At 43.3% G+C, this 19,397-nt stretch overlaps 1 protein-coding gene, 1 long non-coding RNA gene and 1 pseudogene across 2 annotated transcripts in view, besides 1 other annotated feature; 1 reads left to right on the top strand and 2 right to left on the bottom strand.

Moving 5' to 3' along the window:
- On the bottom strand, nucleotides 1,754-6,258 carry CRYGEP (crystallin gamma E, pseudogene; annotated as a pseudogene).
- Nucleotides 5,080-5,820: an enhancer, noted in NCBI's record as "OCT4-NANOG-H3K27ac-H3K4me1 hESC enhancer chr2:208976214-208976954 (GRCh37/hg19 assembly coordinates)". NCBI's record gives its function as "activates a minimal SCP1, AML or CMV promoter by ChIP-STARR-seq in primed H9 embryonic stem cells {active_cell/tissue: H9 hESC(primed)}" and the evidence as "EXISTENCE:reporter gene assay evidence [ECO:0000049][PMID:30033119]".
- The window catches only part of LOC100507443 (uncharacterized), a 37,634-nt gene continuing 30,955 nt past the window's right edge, over nucleotides 12,719-19,397 (top strand). The window contains exon 1 of the long non-coding RNA NR_038437.1: nucleotides 12,719-12,815. This is a non-coding gene — a long non-coding RNA (uncharacterized LOC100507443). The remainder of the gene's footprint in view (nucleotides 12,816-19,397) is intronic.
- CRYGD (crystallin gamma D) lies at nucleotides 15,197-18,114 on the bottom strand. Its single transcript, NM_006891.4, has 3 exons — nucleotides 18,055-18,114; nucleotides 17,702-17,944; nucleotides 15,197-15,535 (listed from the first exon to the last, which is right to left on the bottom strand). Exons 1-3 carry the CDS (start codon nucleotides 18,061-18,063, stop codon nucleotides 15,263-15,265), a joined length of 525 nt encoding a protein of 174 aa, NP_008822.2. The 5' UTR covers nucleotides 18,064-18,114; the 3' UTR covers nucleotides 15,197-15,262.

Genomic DNA, 19,397 nt, shown 5'->3' on the forward strand with positions numbered 1-19,397 from the left:
CCCAGATCCCCCTGGGTCCTCTTTTCCAGCTCTGCATGCTCAGACCCCTGTGGGCTTGGCTGCAAATGCTTTCTCTGGAAACTTCTGCACATTACCCCTCACTGGGGGGAGAGTGGAAAGGCTCTGGGAGTTTGTGTCCCTCTCCCCCCTTGCCAGTGACAGAAGGAACTGGTGTAGGAACACAAGCACCCAGATCGTTGGCCTCAAGGAGGGAGAGGTTGAAGTGTGAGCCATGCTCCAGGACTCTCCAAGGATCAGCCTGAGCTGGCTTCTTCCCCTTCCCTGGCTTGCTTCCCTACTCCTTCACTTTTCTTCTTGGAAGCACATTCCCCAGTAAATCACCTCCTTTCCAATCCTTGCTCATGACCTGTGTCTGGAGGAACTCAACCTAAGACTCTTGCCTGGCTCATGCAAGGTACAGTTGCTATTCAAACCCGAGCAGTCTAAATCCTACCACAGTTTAGGGTTCAAATCCCTCTGTTATAACGCCTGTCATGTCAGTATGATGACTCTGTTTCAATTTCTTTTTCCTAGAAAATGTTAGAAATTTTACCCGGGGAATCTTGGAGCAGTATCTTTGATGTTTGCTCACAGTTCTGAGTGTGGTACTGGGAGTATTCAAAGTCCTTTCTAGCGATGGGTGAGGTTGCATTTGGAGCATCTCACAATACTCTGATAAATGTCTTGAGCGTCTTCCTCCATGCACCCACAGCCCTGTGGACATGCATCCATCTATTATGCTACTGGGGTCATGATTTCAAAAATTATTTTGGATCTTCTGCTCACGGCCCTAGACTGTGGACTCCTGGGGGCCAGGATACTGGCCTATTCATGGTTGTTTCCCAGTGCAGAGCAAAGCGTCTAAATAGAGGTGTTCATCTTTTTGGATGCAATTCTGTACTACAAGAAAGTGGATTTAGAACTGTGGTTCTCAAGGCCGGGCGTGGTGGCTCACACCTGTAATCCTAGCACTTTGGGAGGTTGAGGCGGGCGAATTGCTTCAGTCCAGGAGTTCGAGACCAGCCTGGGCAACATGGCAAAAAACCCTGTCTCTACAAAAAATACAAAAATTAGCTGGGTGTAGTGGCATGTGCCCGTAGTCCCAGCTACTTGGGAGACTGAGGTGGGAGGATCACCTGAACCTGGGGTGGCTGAGGCTTCAGTGAGCCGTGATCACACCACTGCACTCCAACCTGGGTGACAGAGTGAAATCCTGTCGTTAAAAAAAAAAAAAAAAAAGAACTGTGGTTCTCAAATTTCATTTGCATAAAAATTACTGTGGGGGAGGCAGTGGGCTCAAGGAATCCGCATTTTAAGAAGTATCCCAGGTGATGTTTAACCCATTATAGATACTTTGAGAAACAGTAATTTATAAGGTGCAAATACTGAATAATAATAAACAGTTATGTTACAAATACTTAAACATAGTGGTTACTTCATACTTGGCACTGTTGTTAGAGAACTATAAACTCATTTAATCCACATTTAATCCTCATGAGGTGAAAAGTACTATTAACCCCCATTTTTACATATTAGGAAACTGAGGGACAGAGATGCTAAGTAACTTGCTCCACAACTATAACTAGTAAGTAGAGTTGGGCCCAGCATTCTGGCCCCAGAGGCTGTGCTCTTAACAGCTGCCTCACACCCCCTTTCCACTGATACATGCAAGAAAATCCACATGATTCCCAGCATGATTTTTGCTGAGCCCTTCCAAGGAGGCTGAAAGGAACAGAGGATACATTACTGCATAGAACACACAGGAAATATTTTATTAGTTTCCAGATGAAGCAAGGGATAGAGTACAAACATTTCAGTAGAGCTCCACAGCTCTCCTTAGGGAGCCCACTCTCGCATCCGTGGCCCCCCAGTCCTGACACCACCTGCAGTCCCCCGGCCTCAGCAGGTACTGCCGCCCCTGGTAGTTGGGCAGCTCGTAGAGGACCCAGGAGCCCTCCAGCACGTTGAAGGAGTGGATCTCACTGAGGTGGAAGCGGTCGTGAAGAGAGGAGCAGTCCTCAGTGATCTCCACCATCTGGCCCCTGTAGTCCTCTCGCTCATAGATCCTGAGCCTGTGGGAGCTGGCCTGGGGGTTCAGCAAACAGCAGATGAGGGAACGTCAGAAAACCTGACTTCCTGGGGGATGGACCTAAAAAATTTTTTTTCTAGGCCGGGAGCAGTGGCTCACACCTATAATCCCAGCACTTTGGGAGGCCGAGGCAGGTGGATCACGAGGTCAGGAGATCGAGACCATCCTGGCTAACACAGTGAAACCCTGTCTCTACTAAAAATACAAAAACAAAATTAGCCGGGGGTAGTGGTAGGCGCCTGTAGTCCCAGCTACTTGGGAGGCTGAGGCAGGAGAATGGGATGAACCCAGGAGGCAGAGCTTGCAGTGAGCCAAGATCGCGCCACTGCACTCCAGCCTGGGGGACAGAGTGAGACTCCGTCTCCAAAAAAAAAAAAAAAAAAATTTCCTATATCAAAAGTGACCAAGCTAAAACAAAGACACTGCCAACACCAGGGCTGCTGTGTATAGTTGGGTAGGTTGTACACTGTGAAACTCAAGAGGACACCACTCCCCATTCATTTGGTATGAATGGTGCTCCCTAGGGTTTTCTGTTACAATCTACATGAATAGACACACTTGTCCTGCTCAGGACCACTTTTAAATATTTTTTGTATTTGTTTTGTTTGTTTTGTTCTCTCCTTCATAAATTTGTGGTGGTTTGGGCTCTTGTTGGATGACACATAAAATAATGTTTTTATGTTTTTTTTTTTTTTGAGATGGAGTCTCGCTCTGTCGCCCAGGCTGGAGTACAGTGGTGCGATCTCGGCTCACTGCAAGCTCCGCCTCCCGGGTTCACGCCATTCTCCTGACTCAGCCTCCCGAGTAGCCGGGATTACAGGCGCCCGCCACCGCGCCCGGCTAATTTTTTGTATTTTTAGTAGAGATGGGGTTTCACCATGTTAGCCAGGATGGTCTCGATCTCCTGACCTCGTGATCCGCCTGCCTTGGCCTCCCAAAGTGCTGGAATTACAGACGTGAGCCACCGCGCCTGGCAAATATTAAGATTTTAAAACAAAAAGGCAAATATATTCCTGGCAAAATATATTATTTTGAATCTCAATAGCATTAGGAGAAGCTAGAGGGAGAGCAGGTTGAATTGCTTTTACCCAAATGAGGCTCAGATTGGTGGCAATACAGGAAGAAAGTCCAGCGCAAGCAATCCTTCATCCGTGCTTTTCTGCTTTAAGCCCTGCTACTCAAACATGCTGAAAAGCAAGAGCCGTCACAAAGAGAACTAGGTTTCAGTTCTTAGCTCCAACATGTGCTCTTACAAATCAGTTTTAGGTAATACCGAAAAATGGAAGTTCAAGATCATGAAGGAGCAGCTGGGCAGGGTGGTTCATGCCTGTAATCCCATCACTTTGGAAGGCCAGGGTGGAAGGATTGCTTGAGCCCAGGAGTTCAAGACCAGCATAGACAACACAGTGAGACCCTGTCTCTACCAAAAAAAAAAAAAAAAAGTTTAGCTGGGCATAGTGGTGTGCACCTGTGGTCCCAGCTACTCAGGAGGCTGAGGCGGGAAAATCACTTGAGCTCAGGCTTCAGTGAACTATGATCACACCACTCAAGCCAGTCTGGGTGACAGAGAGAAACCTTGTCTTAAAAAAATATCTTTTTTTTTTTTTTCCCCGAGACGGAGTCTCACTCTATCGCCCAGGCTGGAGTGCAGTGGCGCAGTCTCGGCTCACGGCAAGCTCCGCCTCCCGGGTTCACACCATTCTTCTGCCTGAGCCTCCCGAGTAGCTGGGACTACAGACCCGCCACCACGCCCGGCTATTTTTTTGTATTTTTAGTAGAGACGGGGTTTCACCGTGTTAGCTAGAATGGTCTGAATCTCCTGACCTCGTGATCCACCCGCCTCGGCCTCCCAAAGTGCTGGGATTACAGGCGTGAGCCACCACGCCTGGCCTAAAAAAAGATCGTTAAGGAGGCCTGTACAGGTTCAAGAGTGTGAAACCTTTAGAAAAATGGAAACTTAGGCTGTTTGTCCTGAGCTATTCTTGTCTCTGTCGGTTTTTGTTTGTTTGTTTTGTTTTGTTTTGTTTTGTTTTGTTTTGTTTTGTTTTGAGACGGAGTCTCACTCTGTCACCCAGGCTAGAGTGCAGTGGCACAATCTTGGCTCACTGCAACCTCCACCTCCCAGGTTCAAACAATTCTCCTGCCTCAGCCTCCCGAGTAGCTGGCACTACAGGCGCCTGCCACCACGCCTGGCTAATTATTTTTAGTAGAGACAAGGTTTCACCATGTTGGCCAGGCTGGTCTCGAACTCCTGACCTCAGGTAATCTGCCCGCCTCGGCCTTCCAAAGTGCTGGGATTACAGGTGTAAGCCACCACGCCTGGCCATGTCTCTTGTTTTGAGCACTTGTTCTTCCTTCATTTGTTTGTTCCTTCCCATTGTCTCAACGTTTTTCTTCCTCCACATTAAAATATTCTTTAGGGGCCAGGCACAATGGCTTATGTGCCATGCTGGTGTGCTGCACCCATTAACTCGTCATTTAGCATTAGGTATATCTCCTAAAGCTATCCCTCCCCCCTCCCCAGCCTGACCAATATTGTGAAACCTCGTCTCTACTAAAAATACAAAAATTAGCCAGGTGTGGTGGCGTGTGCCTGTAATCTCAGCTACTCTGGAGGCTGAGAAAGGAGAATTGCCTGAACTCGGGAGGTGGAGGTTGCAGTGAGCCGAGATCACGCCACTGTACTCCAACCTGGACGACAGAGCGAGACTCCATCTCAAAAAAAGAAAAAAAATCTTTTCTGCTTGGAGCTCAGGTTCTAGATCCCCTTCTGAGCCTTCTAATGACATTTTTTCTGTCTCGGTTAAGAGCTGATCAGTAATGTCATTTCCTTCTCAAATCTGACTTTGAGACTTTCTCTCTCTCTCTCTCTCTCTCTATATATATATATACATATATACACACACATATATACATATATATATATGTATGTATCTTCTTTAGGGAAGATTCTCATGAGCAATTCTTTTTGAGGTTTGAGTGACTGCTAGTGAAGTGGATCTTACAGTCTGTAATTAGAAGAGTTGGTACTTGAAATTAGAAATCTAAGTTTTTGGGCTCCAATGCCAGACTGGGTCCTTATCCAGCTATTAAACCCTGTGAGGGGATTTCAGACTTCACAAAAGTGGTTCATTTTCCCGGGACTCTGTCACAGTCAACTTAGGGAATCCCTAACTGTGAAATTTCAGGCTGCTGGGGCTTCATTTAGGTAACAGTGGGCCCTGCAGGAGCTATTGGAATCTCATTGTTGGTTACTGGTTTGCCCAATCAGAAGGCAGGACTTGAGAGACCCTTGATGTTCATAATAATAGTTAATACTCGGGGTTGGGGATTGGCATGTGCCAGGCACCCTCCTTTTACCCTCATTGGAACCCTATAAAGGAACTACTCTCATCAGCCCTTTTTACAGATGACGTAAAAGAAATAGCCACCTAGCCTATGGCCACCTGAGAGCAAGGAATTAATCTGTTGCTGTTTCATCACCTGTGGCATAGACGCTCTGAGCTAATGCCACGCACAACTTATTCCCAGTAGAGGTGAATTTGACTTTAGCAAAATAAAATAAAATGACCAGTTAAAAGCACTGCATCACATACTTTTTCAGTGGGAGGAAACCTTACGCATGTTAATAAAGGAAAAGAGAATATAGTTAGAGCCAGAAAAAAGAAGCCTGCCATCGCATCCCATCGCCTGTCGTGTGAATCATCCACGTGGATCACTGATGCGACTCGAGGGCACGGAAGGGCCCGGGTGGGACTGCACTCACGTGGGGGATGAGGCGGCAGGAGCGGACCGAGTCGCTGAGGCCCATCCACTGCTGGTGGTCGGCATAGTCGCCGCGGCGCAGGAACTACTGGAGGCCCGAGTAGTTGGGCTGCTCATAGAGCACCCAGCAGCCGCTGTCCACGCGCACCGAGTTGCAGCGGCTCAAGTAGGGCTGCAGGTTGGGGTGGTCGCTGCTGCATTCGTAGTGGCGGCCCTGGAAGCCCCGGTCCTCGTAGAGGGTGATCTGCAAGGCAAGGCGAGGCAAGGCGAGGTCTCACAGGCCTGCCCCTGCCCCAGTCTCCGGCCCCCGCCATGCAGGGAGCTACCGGGGGGCACGGGCTGGGCTCACCTTCCCCATGGCTGGCTGGGCGCACGGCGGGGCTGAGCGGGTGGGGCGGCAGCGCGGCGGGGCTATATAGCAGGAGGGCTGCTGTGTTGGCAAGAACCGCACAAAAGGGGCCCCCGGAGGGGAGCAAGGGCATTTTTTTTTCTCTCTCTCTCTGTTCCATATAATGACTGTAGGGGAGGGGGTGGGAGGTTTATTGTATGTTTTCTTTTAGACTCTCTAAAGCTTTCGAATTGATGATCTGGTTAAAACTGTCACTTAGTGCCATTTGGGCCTTTACATAAAGCCTATTTGGGAAATTGGAATTGAGCAAGTGCTTAAGAGTTAGTAATTGTAATTAAATGTTTTATTTACCTTTTAAAAGTTCAGTTTGAGCAACAAAGCAGAATAGCGACCAAGTCTAAGGTCGAAATAGACTACAGCATGAGGCTGTATTGTTTAGATTGGTGTGAAATGTGAAACGTGAGGATGAACTTGCCTTCTCCTCGGGCTGTTTACAGTAGGATGTGATTCTCCTTTAAGAGAACCTCTCTATGATCCTACCTGCTGATAAGCAGGGTATCAGATAACTAATGCAGGAGGTTGGACGCCAGGGGTTGGGCCTGGGGAAGCCCTATTTAGGCACCTGGCCTCAGCTCTGATCCCTGGAGCCTGGGTGGAAGCAGGGAAGTCTTCAGCTTCAGCACCGTGCCTGCCTCAGCACAGGCAATGAAACTCTCAACTGTGGGATTCATGAAGTGACACTTTGGCGGTTATTACACTGGTAACTTTCTATTTAACAACTTTGCTAACTAAAGGCTAAGCTTAGTTGGTTCTAGCTGCTGACAAATGCAAGTTAACATGCAAATATAACACATTGAAGATCCTGCAATCTTGCAAAGATTCTGCCTTCTTCACCCTGGGGCAAAACCCTCGTGGCTCTCTAGTTAAGGCTCTGACTCCAGGGACTGGGGTCTTCCTTCCTTTTGCCGGGACCCTGTCCCTCCTGGTGTTCCACTCTCTTTAGAGCAAGGTTTCTCAACCGCAGCACTCTTTTGACATTTGGGGCCCAAAAAATTATCTGCTGGGTGGGGAGGCTGTCCTGTGCATTGCAGGACATTGAGCAGCATCCTGGCCTCTACCATCTGGGTACCGGTAGCATTACTGTCCGGTCGTGACAAGCAGAACTGTCTGCAGACATTGCCAAAGGTTCCCTGGAAAGCAAATCCACTCCCCATCCGCACTAAGAACCACTGATTTAGAATAACTTTGGTGCACCCAGTCTCACTCCTTAGTTTGGATTCTTGCTACCTAAGTCTAATACTAAAAAATAGCTTTCTCTGGACAAATTTTATGTGATCCACGTAAGTTTAATAAGCCTCATTTACATATTTCTCTTTTAAAAATTATAACTTTTGTGGAAAATTTAGAAACTATAAAGCAGTAGAAAGGAGAAAAGATTTTAAGCCGTAGTTTTGTATAAAAAGTAGCACTGTTGATGTATATTTAAAAACTCCTAATTCTCACACCTGTGATCTAATATTTCCATCTCTAGGAATTTGTCCAATGGAAAAAATTAAAGATGCATACAAAGATTATGAACAGTGATATTTTATCAGAATGGTGTTTATAATATAGAAAATTAGATACAAATAAAATGTCCAGAATAGGGCATTGTTTAAATAAATCATGGAACACTTGTTTGATGAGATGCTATGCAGCTACCAAAAATCATGTTGTCAAAGAATTTATTTAAGGGTATGGAAAATGCTTACCATATGTCAAGTTAAAAAAAAAAACAAGTATATTATACTCTGAAAATTACAAAATATTGAAAGAAATTAAAGAAGACATAAATAAGTGGAAACACATCCTATGTTAATGGATTGGAAGACAATATTGTTAATACATCAGTACTACTCAAAGCAATCTGCAGATTTAGTGCAATCCCTATCAAATCTCAATGATTTCCTTATGCAGAAAGAGAAAAATCTATCCTAAAATTCATCTGGAATCTCAAGGGACCCCAAATCAACAAATTAGTCTTGCAAAAAACAAAGTTGGAAGTTCCTTATTCCTTATTCCTAATAAGGAATGCTGACACATGGCACATATGGAAGAACCTTGAAAACATGTGAAGGGAAATAAATCAGACACAGAGGAACAAATATTGTATGATTCCGTTTATTTGAGGTACCTAGAATAGTCAGTTTCGTAAAGACAGGAAGTGGAATGGCAGTTACCAGGGATTGGGGGAGGTAGGATTGGGGAGTTATGGTTTAATGAATACAGAGTTTCCCTCAAAACTAAAAGTCTTTTAGCACATGTACCACCCCTAGAATTTCTGGTAAACCAGCACCAGCCTGAAGATCACGTTCTCATCAAAGGGTGAAAAAAAAGGAAACTCGAACCAGCCTACGAAGGACCCTTGTGCTGCTAACCACCGAGACTTCTGTTCGTACAGCGAAAAAAGGATGGACTCATCACAACCGAGTCAAGAAAGTGCCACCCTCTCCAGAGTCGTGGGCCATAGTCCCAGGGGAAAACCCTACCAAACTAAGCTAAGAAAAATTTAACTTTTTCATCTATTCTATTACTCTTTCTTCTTTTCTCGCTCTATTACTGACCATCTAGTTATTACCATAACCAAGTCAATTTCACCTCAAACTATTGCATTTAATGCTTTCCTTGTTATACCCTGTGGGTATACCCTGTGGGGACTTGCCAAGTCAAAGACAGCTCTCTACTTCAGAAAAGTACCTCTGTCCCTCCTGACTCTCCTCAGACTGGGCATTAGTAAATTAGGACCATTTAATCTGGGGAAATTTTGATTAAAGACTCCAGTGTCAACCAGGAGTCTTGCCCCTCAATGTAGAGCTTTTATGCCGCAGTTTGTCCAACATTCTGTGGACCACTAAAGAGCAAGGATGGACTGCCCCGACCGGTTTTTGTAATTTCCTAAAATCATATGTTCATTTTACTAGAGGATCATAAAAGTTAAAGACTTAAAACAAACTTTGTCAATTAAGACAGGATACCAAGATGCAAATACCTGGTTGGAATGGATCAAATATTCCATCAGCACGTTAAACAAAAGCAATTGTTATGCTTGTGCGCAGGGCAGGTCAGAGGCCCAGATTGTCCCCTTTCCACTAAGGTGGTCCTCCAGTCGCCCAGGCGTGGACTGCATGGTAGCTCTTTTCCAGGATTCTACAGCCTGGAGTAATAAGTTGTGCCAAGCTCTCTCTGCTATATCCCAAAGTCCAGCACCCTGCAGGTCAGCCCCCAAGGGCCATCCAGTTTCCGTCTCCCAACACTAAGTTCACTTCATGACTCTCACAACAGGGAGGAAACTTAGAGTTCCTTGGAGACCTGAAGGGATGCAGTGAGCTTAAGAATTTTCAAGAGCTTATCAATCAGTCAGCCCTCGTTCATCCCCGAGCGGATGTGTGGTGGTATTGTGGCCGAATAACTGGAGTGGCACTTGTACTTCAGTCCAATTGGCTTGCCTTTCGCCCTGGGATTTTGTCAACCAGAGGGAGGAAAAATAAGACATTGTAAAGCGAGAAAAGCCCCTTATGGGTCTTTCGACTCTCACGTCTATTTAGAAGCAATTGAAGTCCCACGGGGAATACCAGATCAATTTAAAGCTTAAAATCAAATAGCTGCAGGATTTGAGTCAATATTTTGGTGGGTGACGGTTAATAAAAATGTAGATTGGATAAACTACATCTATTACAACCAACAGCAATGAGCTTTTCATGAGTTAAAAGAAAAAACTCATGTTGGCCCCAGCCCTGGGGCTACCTGAACTGGCAAAACCCTTTACACTCTATGTGACAGAAAGAGAAAAAATGGCAGTTGGAGTTTTAACCCAGACTGTGGGGCCCTGGCCAAGGTCAGTGGCCTATCTCTCAAAACAACTGGACAGGGTTTCCAAAGGCTGGCCCCCATGTCTAAGGGCCCTGGCAGCAACGGCCCTGTTAGCACAAGAAGCAGATAAACTAACTCTTGGGCAAAACCTGAATATAAAGGCCCCTCCATGCTGTGGTAACTTTGATGAATACCAAAGGACATCATTGGCTAGCAAATGCTAGATTAACCAAGTGCCAAAGCTTCCTATGTGAAAATCCCCACATAACCATTGAAGTTTGCAACACCCTAAACCCCACCACCTTGCTCCTGGTATCAGAGAGCCCAGCTGAACATAACTGCTACTTGGGCACAAGACAGCTCGTGGGGATACCAGACCCCCATTTACATGCTCAATTGAATCATACGGTTACAAGCTGTCTTAGAAATAATCATTAATAAGACTGACAGAGCCTTGACTATTGTGGCCTGGCAAGAAACTCGGATGAGAAATGCTGTCTATCAAAATAGATTGGCTCTCGACTACTTGCTAGCAGCTAAAGGAGGGGTCTGTGGGAAATTTACCTTACTAATTGCTGTGTACACACAGATGATCAAGGGAAGGTAGTTGAAGACATAGAGATATGACAAAACTGGCACATGTGCCTGTGCAAGTGTGGCATGGATTTGATCCTGGGGCCATGTTTGAAAAATGGTTCTCGGCACTAGGAGAATTTGAAACTCTTATAATAGGAGTTGTGATAGTAATAGGAACGTGCTTACTGCTCCCTTGTTTGTTACCTGTACTTCTTCAAATGATAAAAAGCTTCATCACTACCTTAGTTCACCAAAATGCTTCAGCACAAGTGTACTATATGAATCACTATCGATCTGTCTTGCAAGAAGACACAGGTAATGAAAATAAAAGTGACACTGCCACTAATGAGTGAGGTTCTCAAAGCGGGGAAATAAGGGACGAGACCACCCCTCATATTGTCCTATGCCCAATTTCTGCCCCCAAAGAAAGAATAAGTAAAAACTAAAAGGCAGAAATGAAATCCACAGGCAGACAGCCCGGCGCCACGCCCTGGGCCTGGTTAAAGATCGACCCCTGACCTAACCGGTTCTGTTATCTATAGATTCCAGACATTGTATGGAAAAACATTGTGAAAATCCCTGTCCTGTTCTGTTCCATTCTGATTACCAGTGCATGCAGCCCCCAGTCATGTACTGCCTGCTTGCTCAATCCATCACGACCCTCTCAAGCAGACCCCCTTAGAGTTTTAAGCCCTTAAATGGGACAGGAGTTGCTCACTCGGGGAGCTCGGTTTTTGGAGACGTGAGTCTTGCTGAAGCTCCTGGCTGAATAAAGCCTTTCCTTCTTTAACTTGGTGTCTGAGGGGTTTTGTCTGTGGCTAGTCCTGCTACAGTTTTATTATAATAAATATTGAGTGAGTAGTTTGTGCATAACACTTTTTTTCATGTTTAGGATTTGTTTCTTAGATAGATTCCTAGAAGTATGCTCAAAAGTTAGTTCATATTTCTCCCTCTGCTATTCTTGTGACATTCAACTCCTCATTATCACAAAGGACTGAAGAAGTGTAAATGTTTGCCAATATTTGGTACCATCTGAATTGCCTCCCAAGACAGGATGAATTCCATGGATTATAAACGAGTTAAAGAGTGTCTAAAACAAAGTTTACTTTAAATTTCTTATAGTCAGCCGGGCACAGTGGCTCACATCTGTAATCCCAGCACTTTGGGAGGCCGAGGCAGGTGGGTCACTTGAGGTCAGGAGTTCGAGACCAGCCTGGTCAACATGGTGAAACCTCATCTCTAACTAAAAATACAAAAATTAGCTGGGCGTGGCAGCATATGCCTGTTATTCCAGCTACTGGGGAGGCTGAGGCAGGAGAATCTTGAACCCAGGAGACGGAGGTTGCGGTGAGCTGAGATTGCACCACTGCACTCCCTACCTGTTGTCCTCTCTATCTCAAAAAAAAAAAAAAAAAAAAAAAATTCTGGCCAGGCGTGGTGGCTCACGCTTGTAATCCCAGCACTTTGGGGGGCCGAGGTGAGCGGATCACGAGGTCAAGAGATCAAGACAAACCTGGCTAACACAGTGAAACCCTGTCTCTACTAAAAATACAAAATAAAATTAGCCGGGCGTGGTGGTCGGTGCCTGTAGTCCCAGCTACTCGGGAGGCTGAGGCAGGAGAATGGCGTGAACCCAGGAGGCGGAGCTTGCAGTGAGCAGAGATTGCGCCACTGCACTCCAGCTTGGGCGGCAGAGCAAGACTCCGTCTCAAAAACAAAAACAAAAACAAAAACAAACCTTACAGTTCTCTTACTTTATAAAGAGAAATAAAAGATTATTGAATATAATTGACATCTTAAACAATTTTTTTCTCTATTTGTACCCTTTCCTCCTTGGACTTCATCCTTCTTTCTCCCTTTATTCAGTTCGTTCTGATTTCCCTATAACACCAAAGGTCACACTCAAGAATGGGATAATATTTTAAGGTTCTCTTCAATCCTGGGAATTTGTGCTCTGGACACAATTGTGTTATAGGCTAAGACTGCTATTGTGTTTCTTCATTCACCCTTTCTTGTCTATTGCCCCAGTTGCAGCTAATAGATTCTATGGTTACCAGGGATACCAGCTTTAGGATGACGCAGATGCTAAATGCCGCGGGAGTCAGAGAAAACCTGGGGTCCTGATGATGTTGTTGAGCTGCTGAATCAACCATCCCTAAACCCTATGCTCCCAAGACTTCTTGTCATGTGAGCTAGTAGATTTCCATCTTGCTTATCTATTTAATATGAAGTTGCTGCTACTTTCAGTCTAAAGCATTAAGTCAGATCCATTTCTGGCTGTGGGATTAGGATGAATTTTGATCTGGTTAAAGGCTGAGTAACTCACCAGGGAGAAGGTGCATAAGAGAAATCCTGGTGAGGAAAAGATATAAGTAAGGGCAAAGAGATGTGAAAGTGTTTGGTGTGCTTGGAGGACTCAGGTGAGATGGGAAGGAAGGACAGCTGAGGTCAGGAAATAGGAGATGAGGTAGATAGGCTGGGGGTCAGGATCCCAGGAATTTGAATGTTTTCCTATGGGAAGTGAAGGAACATCAAAGGTTTTTAATCAGAGAAACGACATGATCAGATTAGCCTCTAAGCACTTACATAGTGACTCCTCCTTTCTAAAATTCTAGCAATGAGAGTACAAATAAGACAGAATAAGAGGTAGGAAAAGAACCAATGTAAGTGAATATATTGTAGGACAGCCTTATACATAGTATATTGACACACACAAACGTACATTGGATGAGGTTATATAAATATATATAACTGTATGTGTGTGCCCATGTGTATTCAGAGAATGCAGCTTTGGATTATTCAATATTTTTAATTCAATTCCTGGTTGGTTGTTTGCAACGACCTCATGGTAAGAATCTATGATTTAGTGTTGTCATTACTTTCACAAAATTTCACAATAGATTTTATAAAATCTTCCTGATTTTTTTTTTTTTTTTGAGACGGGGTCTCGCTCTGTCGCCCAGACTGGAGTGCAGTGGTGTGATCTCAGCTCACTGCAACCTCCACCTCCTGAGCTCAAGCAGTTCTCCTGCCTCAGCCTCCTAAGTAGCTGGGATTACAGGCACCTGCCACCACGCCCAGCTAATTTTTGTATTTTTAGTAGAGACGGGGTTTTACCATGTTGCCCAGGCTGGTCTCAAACTCCTGATCTAAGGTGATCCGCCCACCTCGGCCTCCCAAAGTGCTGGGATTACAGGTGTGAGCCACCACACCTGGCCAAAATCTTCCTGATTTCATAATAGAAAACCAGCAGTTTCTGAGCTGTGATTCTGGCTTCTGATTCCACCTCTGTTATTGGTGTGACCTTGGAATTAGACCTCAGTTTACTGTACATAAAATGAGTTATCTAGGTTAGATGATCTACGGATTTAAAATATATTAACCATCTTATCTTATAACTACAATGTTCTGTAATGGCCCCTCTCTGTGCCTCTCTCTCCCCCTCCTTCCCTTTCTTTCTTTTTCTCTCCTCCCCTTTTTTTTTTTTCAACTTTTATTTTAGGCTCGGGGTACATGTGCATGTTTGCTATGTAGGTAAACTTGTGTCACGGGGGTTTGTTGTACAGGTTATTTCATCACCCAGCTACTAGGCCTAGTATCCAATAGTTATTTCTTCTGATTCTCTCCCTCCTCCCACCCTCCACCCTCCAACAGGTCCAGTGTCTGTTGTTCCCTTCTTTGTGTCCACGTGTGTGTTCTCCCGTCTTTTTTCTTTGTTTTTTTTTTTAATTTTAAAATTAAGAATGTCTCTAAATAAAATTCTATACAGTTACCTAAGGAAAATTCACATATACTCTACATCAGCTAGAAATGTGTGTTGAACTGCAGATAACAGAATACCCAGCTATAGGGGCTTAAACAAAATGTGGTTTATTTGACTGCCATTACAAGAAGTCTGAAGGTAAAAGGTTGTTAGCATGGTCCAGGGGCTCAGCCACATCTAGGCCAACATTTCTGAAATTCTCCTGGCCTTTCTCTCACAGCTGTCATTTCTTGAGTGTAAGAAATAAGAGGGAACTTTGGCATCAGGGTCATCTGCTCTCTTTCATTAGAAAGGCACAAGTTTTTCCAGAACCATCTCTTCTCCCTCCCTATCATCATTTCTCACTTCTGATTCGATGGCCAGAGGAAGGCCACATGACCACCTCTGTAGTAAGGGAGTCGGACAGAGATTTGTGAACTCAACTTTTGCATACAATTTTAGAGAATTCAAAAATGGACGCGCGTTATGGTACCCAGGTTCAGAATCCCTGATTGAAAAAGTGGGTCACACTATCTGAACCTACGTTTTCAGGTCCTCACTCCTCAAAGAAAAACTGAAATCTAAACAGATTTCTGATAATCTGGTTTGAAGCAGCAAGCTGTTTAAAGGCCAGAGAATCAAATGAGATAATGAATTATGAAACTTTTGCAAACTGTTAAGTTCTACTTAATATGAAGACGTCATTCTGTTGTGAGAACTTCCTTTGTTATCTATGTATTACACATCTTGGTTGCCATTTGCCTCGTGTGTGTAAATAAAATAAGATAGAAGTAGGGCAAAGTAAAGAAAGACACAAGCAAATCAGTGCCAGGAACACACAGAAAATATTTTATTAGTTTCCAAATTAAGAAACAACAAAAGAGGACATATTTCAGGAGAAATCTATGACTCTCCTCAGAGAGCCCACTCTGGCATTCGTGGCCCCCCAGTCCTGGTAGCGCCTATAGTCCCCTGGCATCAGCAGGTACTGCCGTCCTCGGTAGTTGGACAGCTCGTAGAGGACCCAGGAGCCCTCCAGCACGTTGAGGGAGTGGATTTCATTGAAGCGGAAGCGGTCCTGAAGACAGGAGCAGTCCTCAGTGAACTCTATCATCTGGCCTCTGTAGTCCTCTCTCTCATAGAGTCTGATCCTGTGAGAGCCAGACTGGCGGACCCAGAAATAAAAAGAGAAGAAAAGCAAGTGTGAAATGATTCCAATGCATTGTTAGGCAGTCCAGCTTGGTGAGGACCCGCTCAAGCCATTTTGAAATACATGGTAAAATTTAATTAATTCTGAATATTTATAAACTCCTCATTACCGAGCACAGAGATTCAGTACCTTTTCAAGATTATGAAGTGTGGTGAAGAAATTGAGAAGGAAATCTCACTCTTTAATATATTCAGCTATTTCTTAGGATGAGCTGCCTCCTAGGCTCAGTATCCTGTACCACATGCAAATCCAAACCTGTAACAGCTTATTACTATTTTATACCATTTTGAAGAAATGTTTTAATATTAAAATAAACATTAAATTATAAAGAAATATATTTAAATAATGTATAATTTTAATATACATATGATATCTAATACATATTTAATTATATACTATATTTAAAATATATTATAAAATGTATAAAATTATATTTTATTTAAAGTTAATCATATTTTATTTTAATAATTATATTCAAATTATATTTTATAAGTATAAATTAAAATTATATTTATTTTACAAATTATATTTTATTTTAAAATAACTTTACTAAAATATAAATAAAATATATTTAAAATACAGAAATATAAGGGGTGGGGCAGTGGCTCATGCCTGTAGTCCCAGCACCCTGGGAAGCCGAGGCAGGTGGATCACTTGAGGTCAGGAGTTCAAGACCAGCCTGACGAATATGGCGAAACCTTGTCTATACTAAAAATACAAAAATTAGCCAGGTGTGGTGGCGGGTGCCTGTAATCCCAGCTACTTGGGAAGAAAATTGCTAGGGCCCAGGAAGCAGAGGTTGCAGTGTGCCGAGATCATGCCACTGCACTCCAGCGTGGGGAACAGAGCAAGACTTCGTCAAAAAAAATAATAATAATAAATAATAAAATAAAATAAAATAAAAATAAAAATACAAAAATTAGCTGGGTGTGGTGGCGTGCTCCTGTAACTCCAGCTACTCAGGAGACTGAGAGACGAGAATCATTTGAATCCAGGAGGCGGAGGTTGCAGTGAGCCGAGATTGCACCACTGCACTCCAGCCTGGGCGTCAGAGTGAGACTCTGTTTCAAAAAACAAAAACAAAACAACAACAACAAAAATATATATATACACACATATAATGTAAATGAAATATATTAAAAATATATTAAAATATATTTAAAATATGTTAAATATATTTAAAATATAATATAATTTATGTAGTTATATAAATATATTAAATACATATTTATTAAATAAATATATTATTAAATACATTATATTCATTAAATATATTTAATGTAAATATATTTAAAATATAAAAATATGTATTTTAAATATAAGTATTTAAAATATATTAAATATATCATTTAATATATTGAATTAAATGATAATGCATCATTTAAATCAATGACATAAATAAAATATGTTAAATATATAAGCCTTCTATTCAAAATATAAGTGTTTTAAATATATTAAAATATAAATATTTAAAATATATTAAAATATAAAATGTTAAATATCTTCATATATTAAAGAACAATTAATTCTAAGTCAATAACTTGTGAATGCAATGAAGAAAAATGGAGGAAGAAACATCAGTAAGTCCAAGGACGAATTTTGCATAAACTTTAGTGTTCTAACACACATATGGGATAAAAGGGACACATGTGTAAAATATGTGTGTTGCTCTCCTTTGAAGGAAAGTCTTACTTATATAGGTTGGGAAAACCCAAAATATGCAAGAGAGGAGCAAAAACGGGAAAAAGTCTCAAAAGAAATTACCCTGTTTGCTCAGTAACTGCTGTACGCTCTAGCATTTATTCTTCTATTGGGTATTAGTGGTTTTTCTACAACTCCATTCTAAATGATTCCAGAATAGGACTTAAGTCTTATACAACCCCTAGGGCAGGAGACACATTCCTACTCAATACATATTTGTGGATTAATTGTGATTAACTGGTGTCTGGGTAATACTTTGCTTATGTGGGGAGCAAACTCTATTGACTTAATCCACTATAGTTCATCTTTTGTCCACTCTCAGTTATTGTGACTGATCACTACTTCTAATGTTTAACTTTTGCTTGAAACCATCCAGTGAGTGTCCTGAGGGCCTGGGTCCTGACTTGAGGATGTACTCACGTGGGGGATGAGGCGGCAGGAGCGGACCGAGTCGCTGAGGCCCATCCACTGCTGGTGGTCGGCATAGTCGCCGCGGCGCAGGAAGTACTGGAGGCCCGAGTAGTTGGGCTGCTCATAGAGCATCCAGCAGCCGCTGTCCACGCGCGCCGAGTTGCAGCGGCTCAAGTAGGGCTGCAGGTTGGGGTGGTCGCTGCTGCATTCATAGTGGCGGCCCTGGAAGCCCCGGTCCTCGTAGAGGGTGATCTGCAAGGCAAGGCGGGACAAGGCGAGGTCTCACAGGCCTGCTCCTGCCCCAGTCTCTGGCCCCCGCGATGGAGGAAGCTCCGGGGTCCCGGGGCGCAGGCTGGGCTCACCTTCCCCATGGCTGGCTGGGCGCACGGCGGTGCTGAGCTGGTGGGGCGGCGGCGCTGAGCGGGTGGGGCTGCGGCGCGGCGGGCTATATAGCAGGAGGGCTGCTGCGTTGGCAAGAACCGCACAAAAGGGGCCCCCGGAGGGGAGCAAGGGCATTTTCGTGTTCTCTTTTTTTCTCTTTGCTGTGCTAGACCACGGGGCTTGTTGTGGGTTTTGGTCGCATTCTCTCTGGAGTATTCGGATTGCTATCACTGGCTGATGCTATTGAGAATGTTTGTAAAACGGCAATTTGGGACATTGTCTATTTATAATGGAAGTGGAGCTTCAGCTATTTCACATATAGTTCACGCTTTTATTCGTATAGATTGGGGAAAAACAAAAAAAATTTAAGTCGGGGAGCAAAAAAAGCAACGACTCTTAATAAGGCAAATATAAATTAATCTGTCAGAACTACAGTATTACTTACGTGCCACAATATTGAATACTGATTGTTAATAGGAAGGAAATGGGCTTAACTGAATGTTGAAAATTTCAAGTTAGTCCTTTAAGAGAACGTCATCATGAAAGGGTGTAAGAAATTGGAACATTTTATTAAGAGAGTTCACAGAATTTCGAACTTTTATTATGGTAAAACACACAGCAAACGTGAATCTTCAATATTGGGTCTGATTTTGTTGCAATTATGCCTGGAAGTAGCTGAGAATTAGATGTTTTTCTCTTAGCTAAAGGTGGTGCCGTGATTCAAAAGAGAGAATAGTTCTAAGATGCTTAATCTCAGAAAGAACTAAAAAGGGAAATATCTAAGTTTGAGGAAATTAGAAAAAGTAATATGTTTGAAACACAAAAACATGATCTCTTAGCTTGTTATAAAATAAAACCAAATTCCTAAGAAACTTATTTCTGGTAGGATCTAGAATACACCTTTGCCCTCTGAACGAGCGAGAGTACACAAGGCCTTTGACTCAGACGAAATTAATTGCATGAACACAAAGGGGAGCTATGGCTGGAATGATGCAGGGAGAGGAAGGAATAAAAATCTAGAAGTTGGACTCGAGGAAGACTTCAGAAAGTACTTATTGGCCTGGAAGAGAGCAGTTTGATGGACTGGGAAGAGTACTGGAGTGGAATATGACCTATGTGTCCAGCTTCTTTCATGTTCAAAGAATTGCTTACAGCCCTGTGTCAACCCATGGAAGTACTTTGTCTTGTCTTTGAGTCATAAATCTTTGTAAGTGGTATTTATGAATTAAACACCAACTATGTGCAATACAAATTATTTTAATTCTTATTTTCTGGCTGCTTTTTTTTTTTTGTATTCTTTCTATATAGAGCTCTACGGTGGTAG

Source organism: Homo sapiens, chromosome 2 (assembly GCF_000001405.40).
Source record: "Homo sapiens chromosome 2, GRCh38.p14 Primary Assembly".
NCBI lineage: Eukaryota > Metazoa > Chordata > Mammalia > Primates > Hominidae > Homo > Homo sapiens.

What these genes read in the sequence shown, in the direction of transcription:
- CRYGD (NM_006891.4), bottom strand. An exon ending in CCTGCCGCCTCATCCCCCAC is followed by an intron (nt 15,536 to 17,701) that starts GTGAGTACATCC and finishes TGGGTCCGCCAG; the next exon opens with TCTGGCTCTCACAGGATCAG.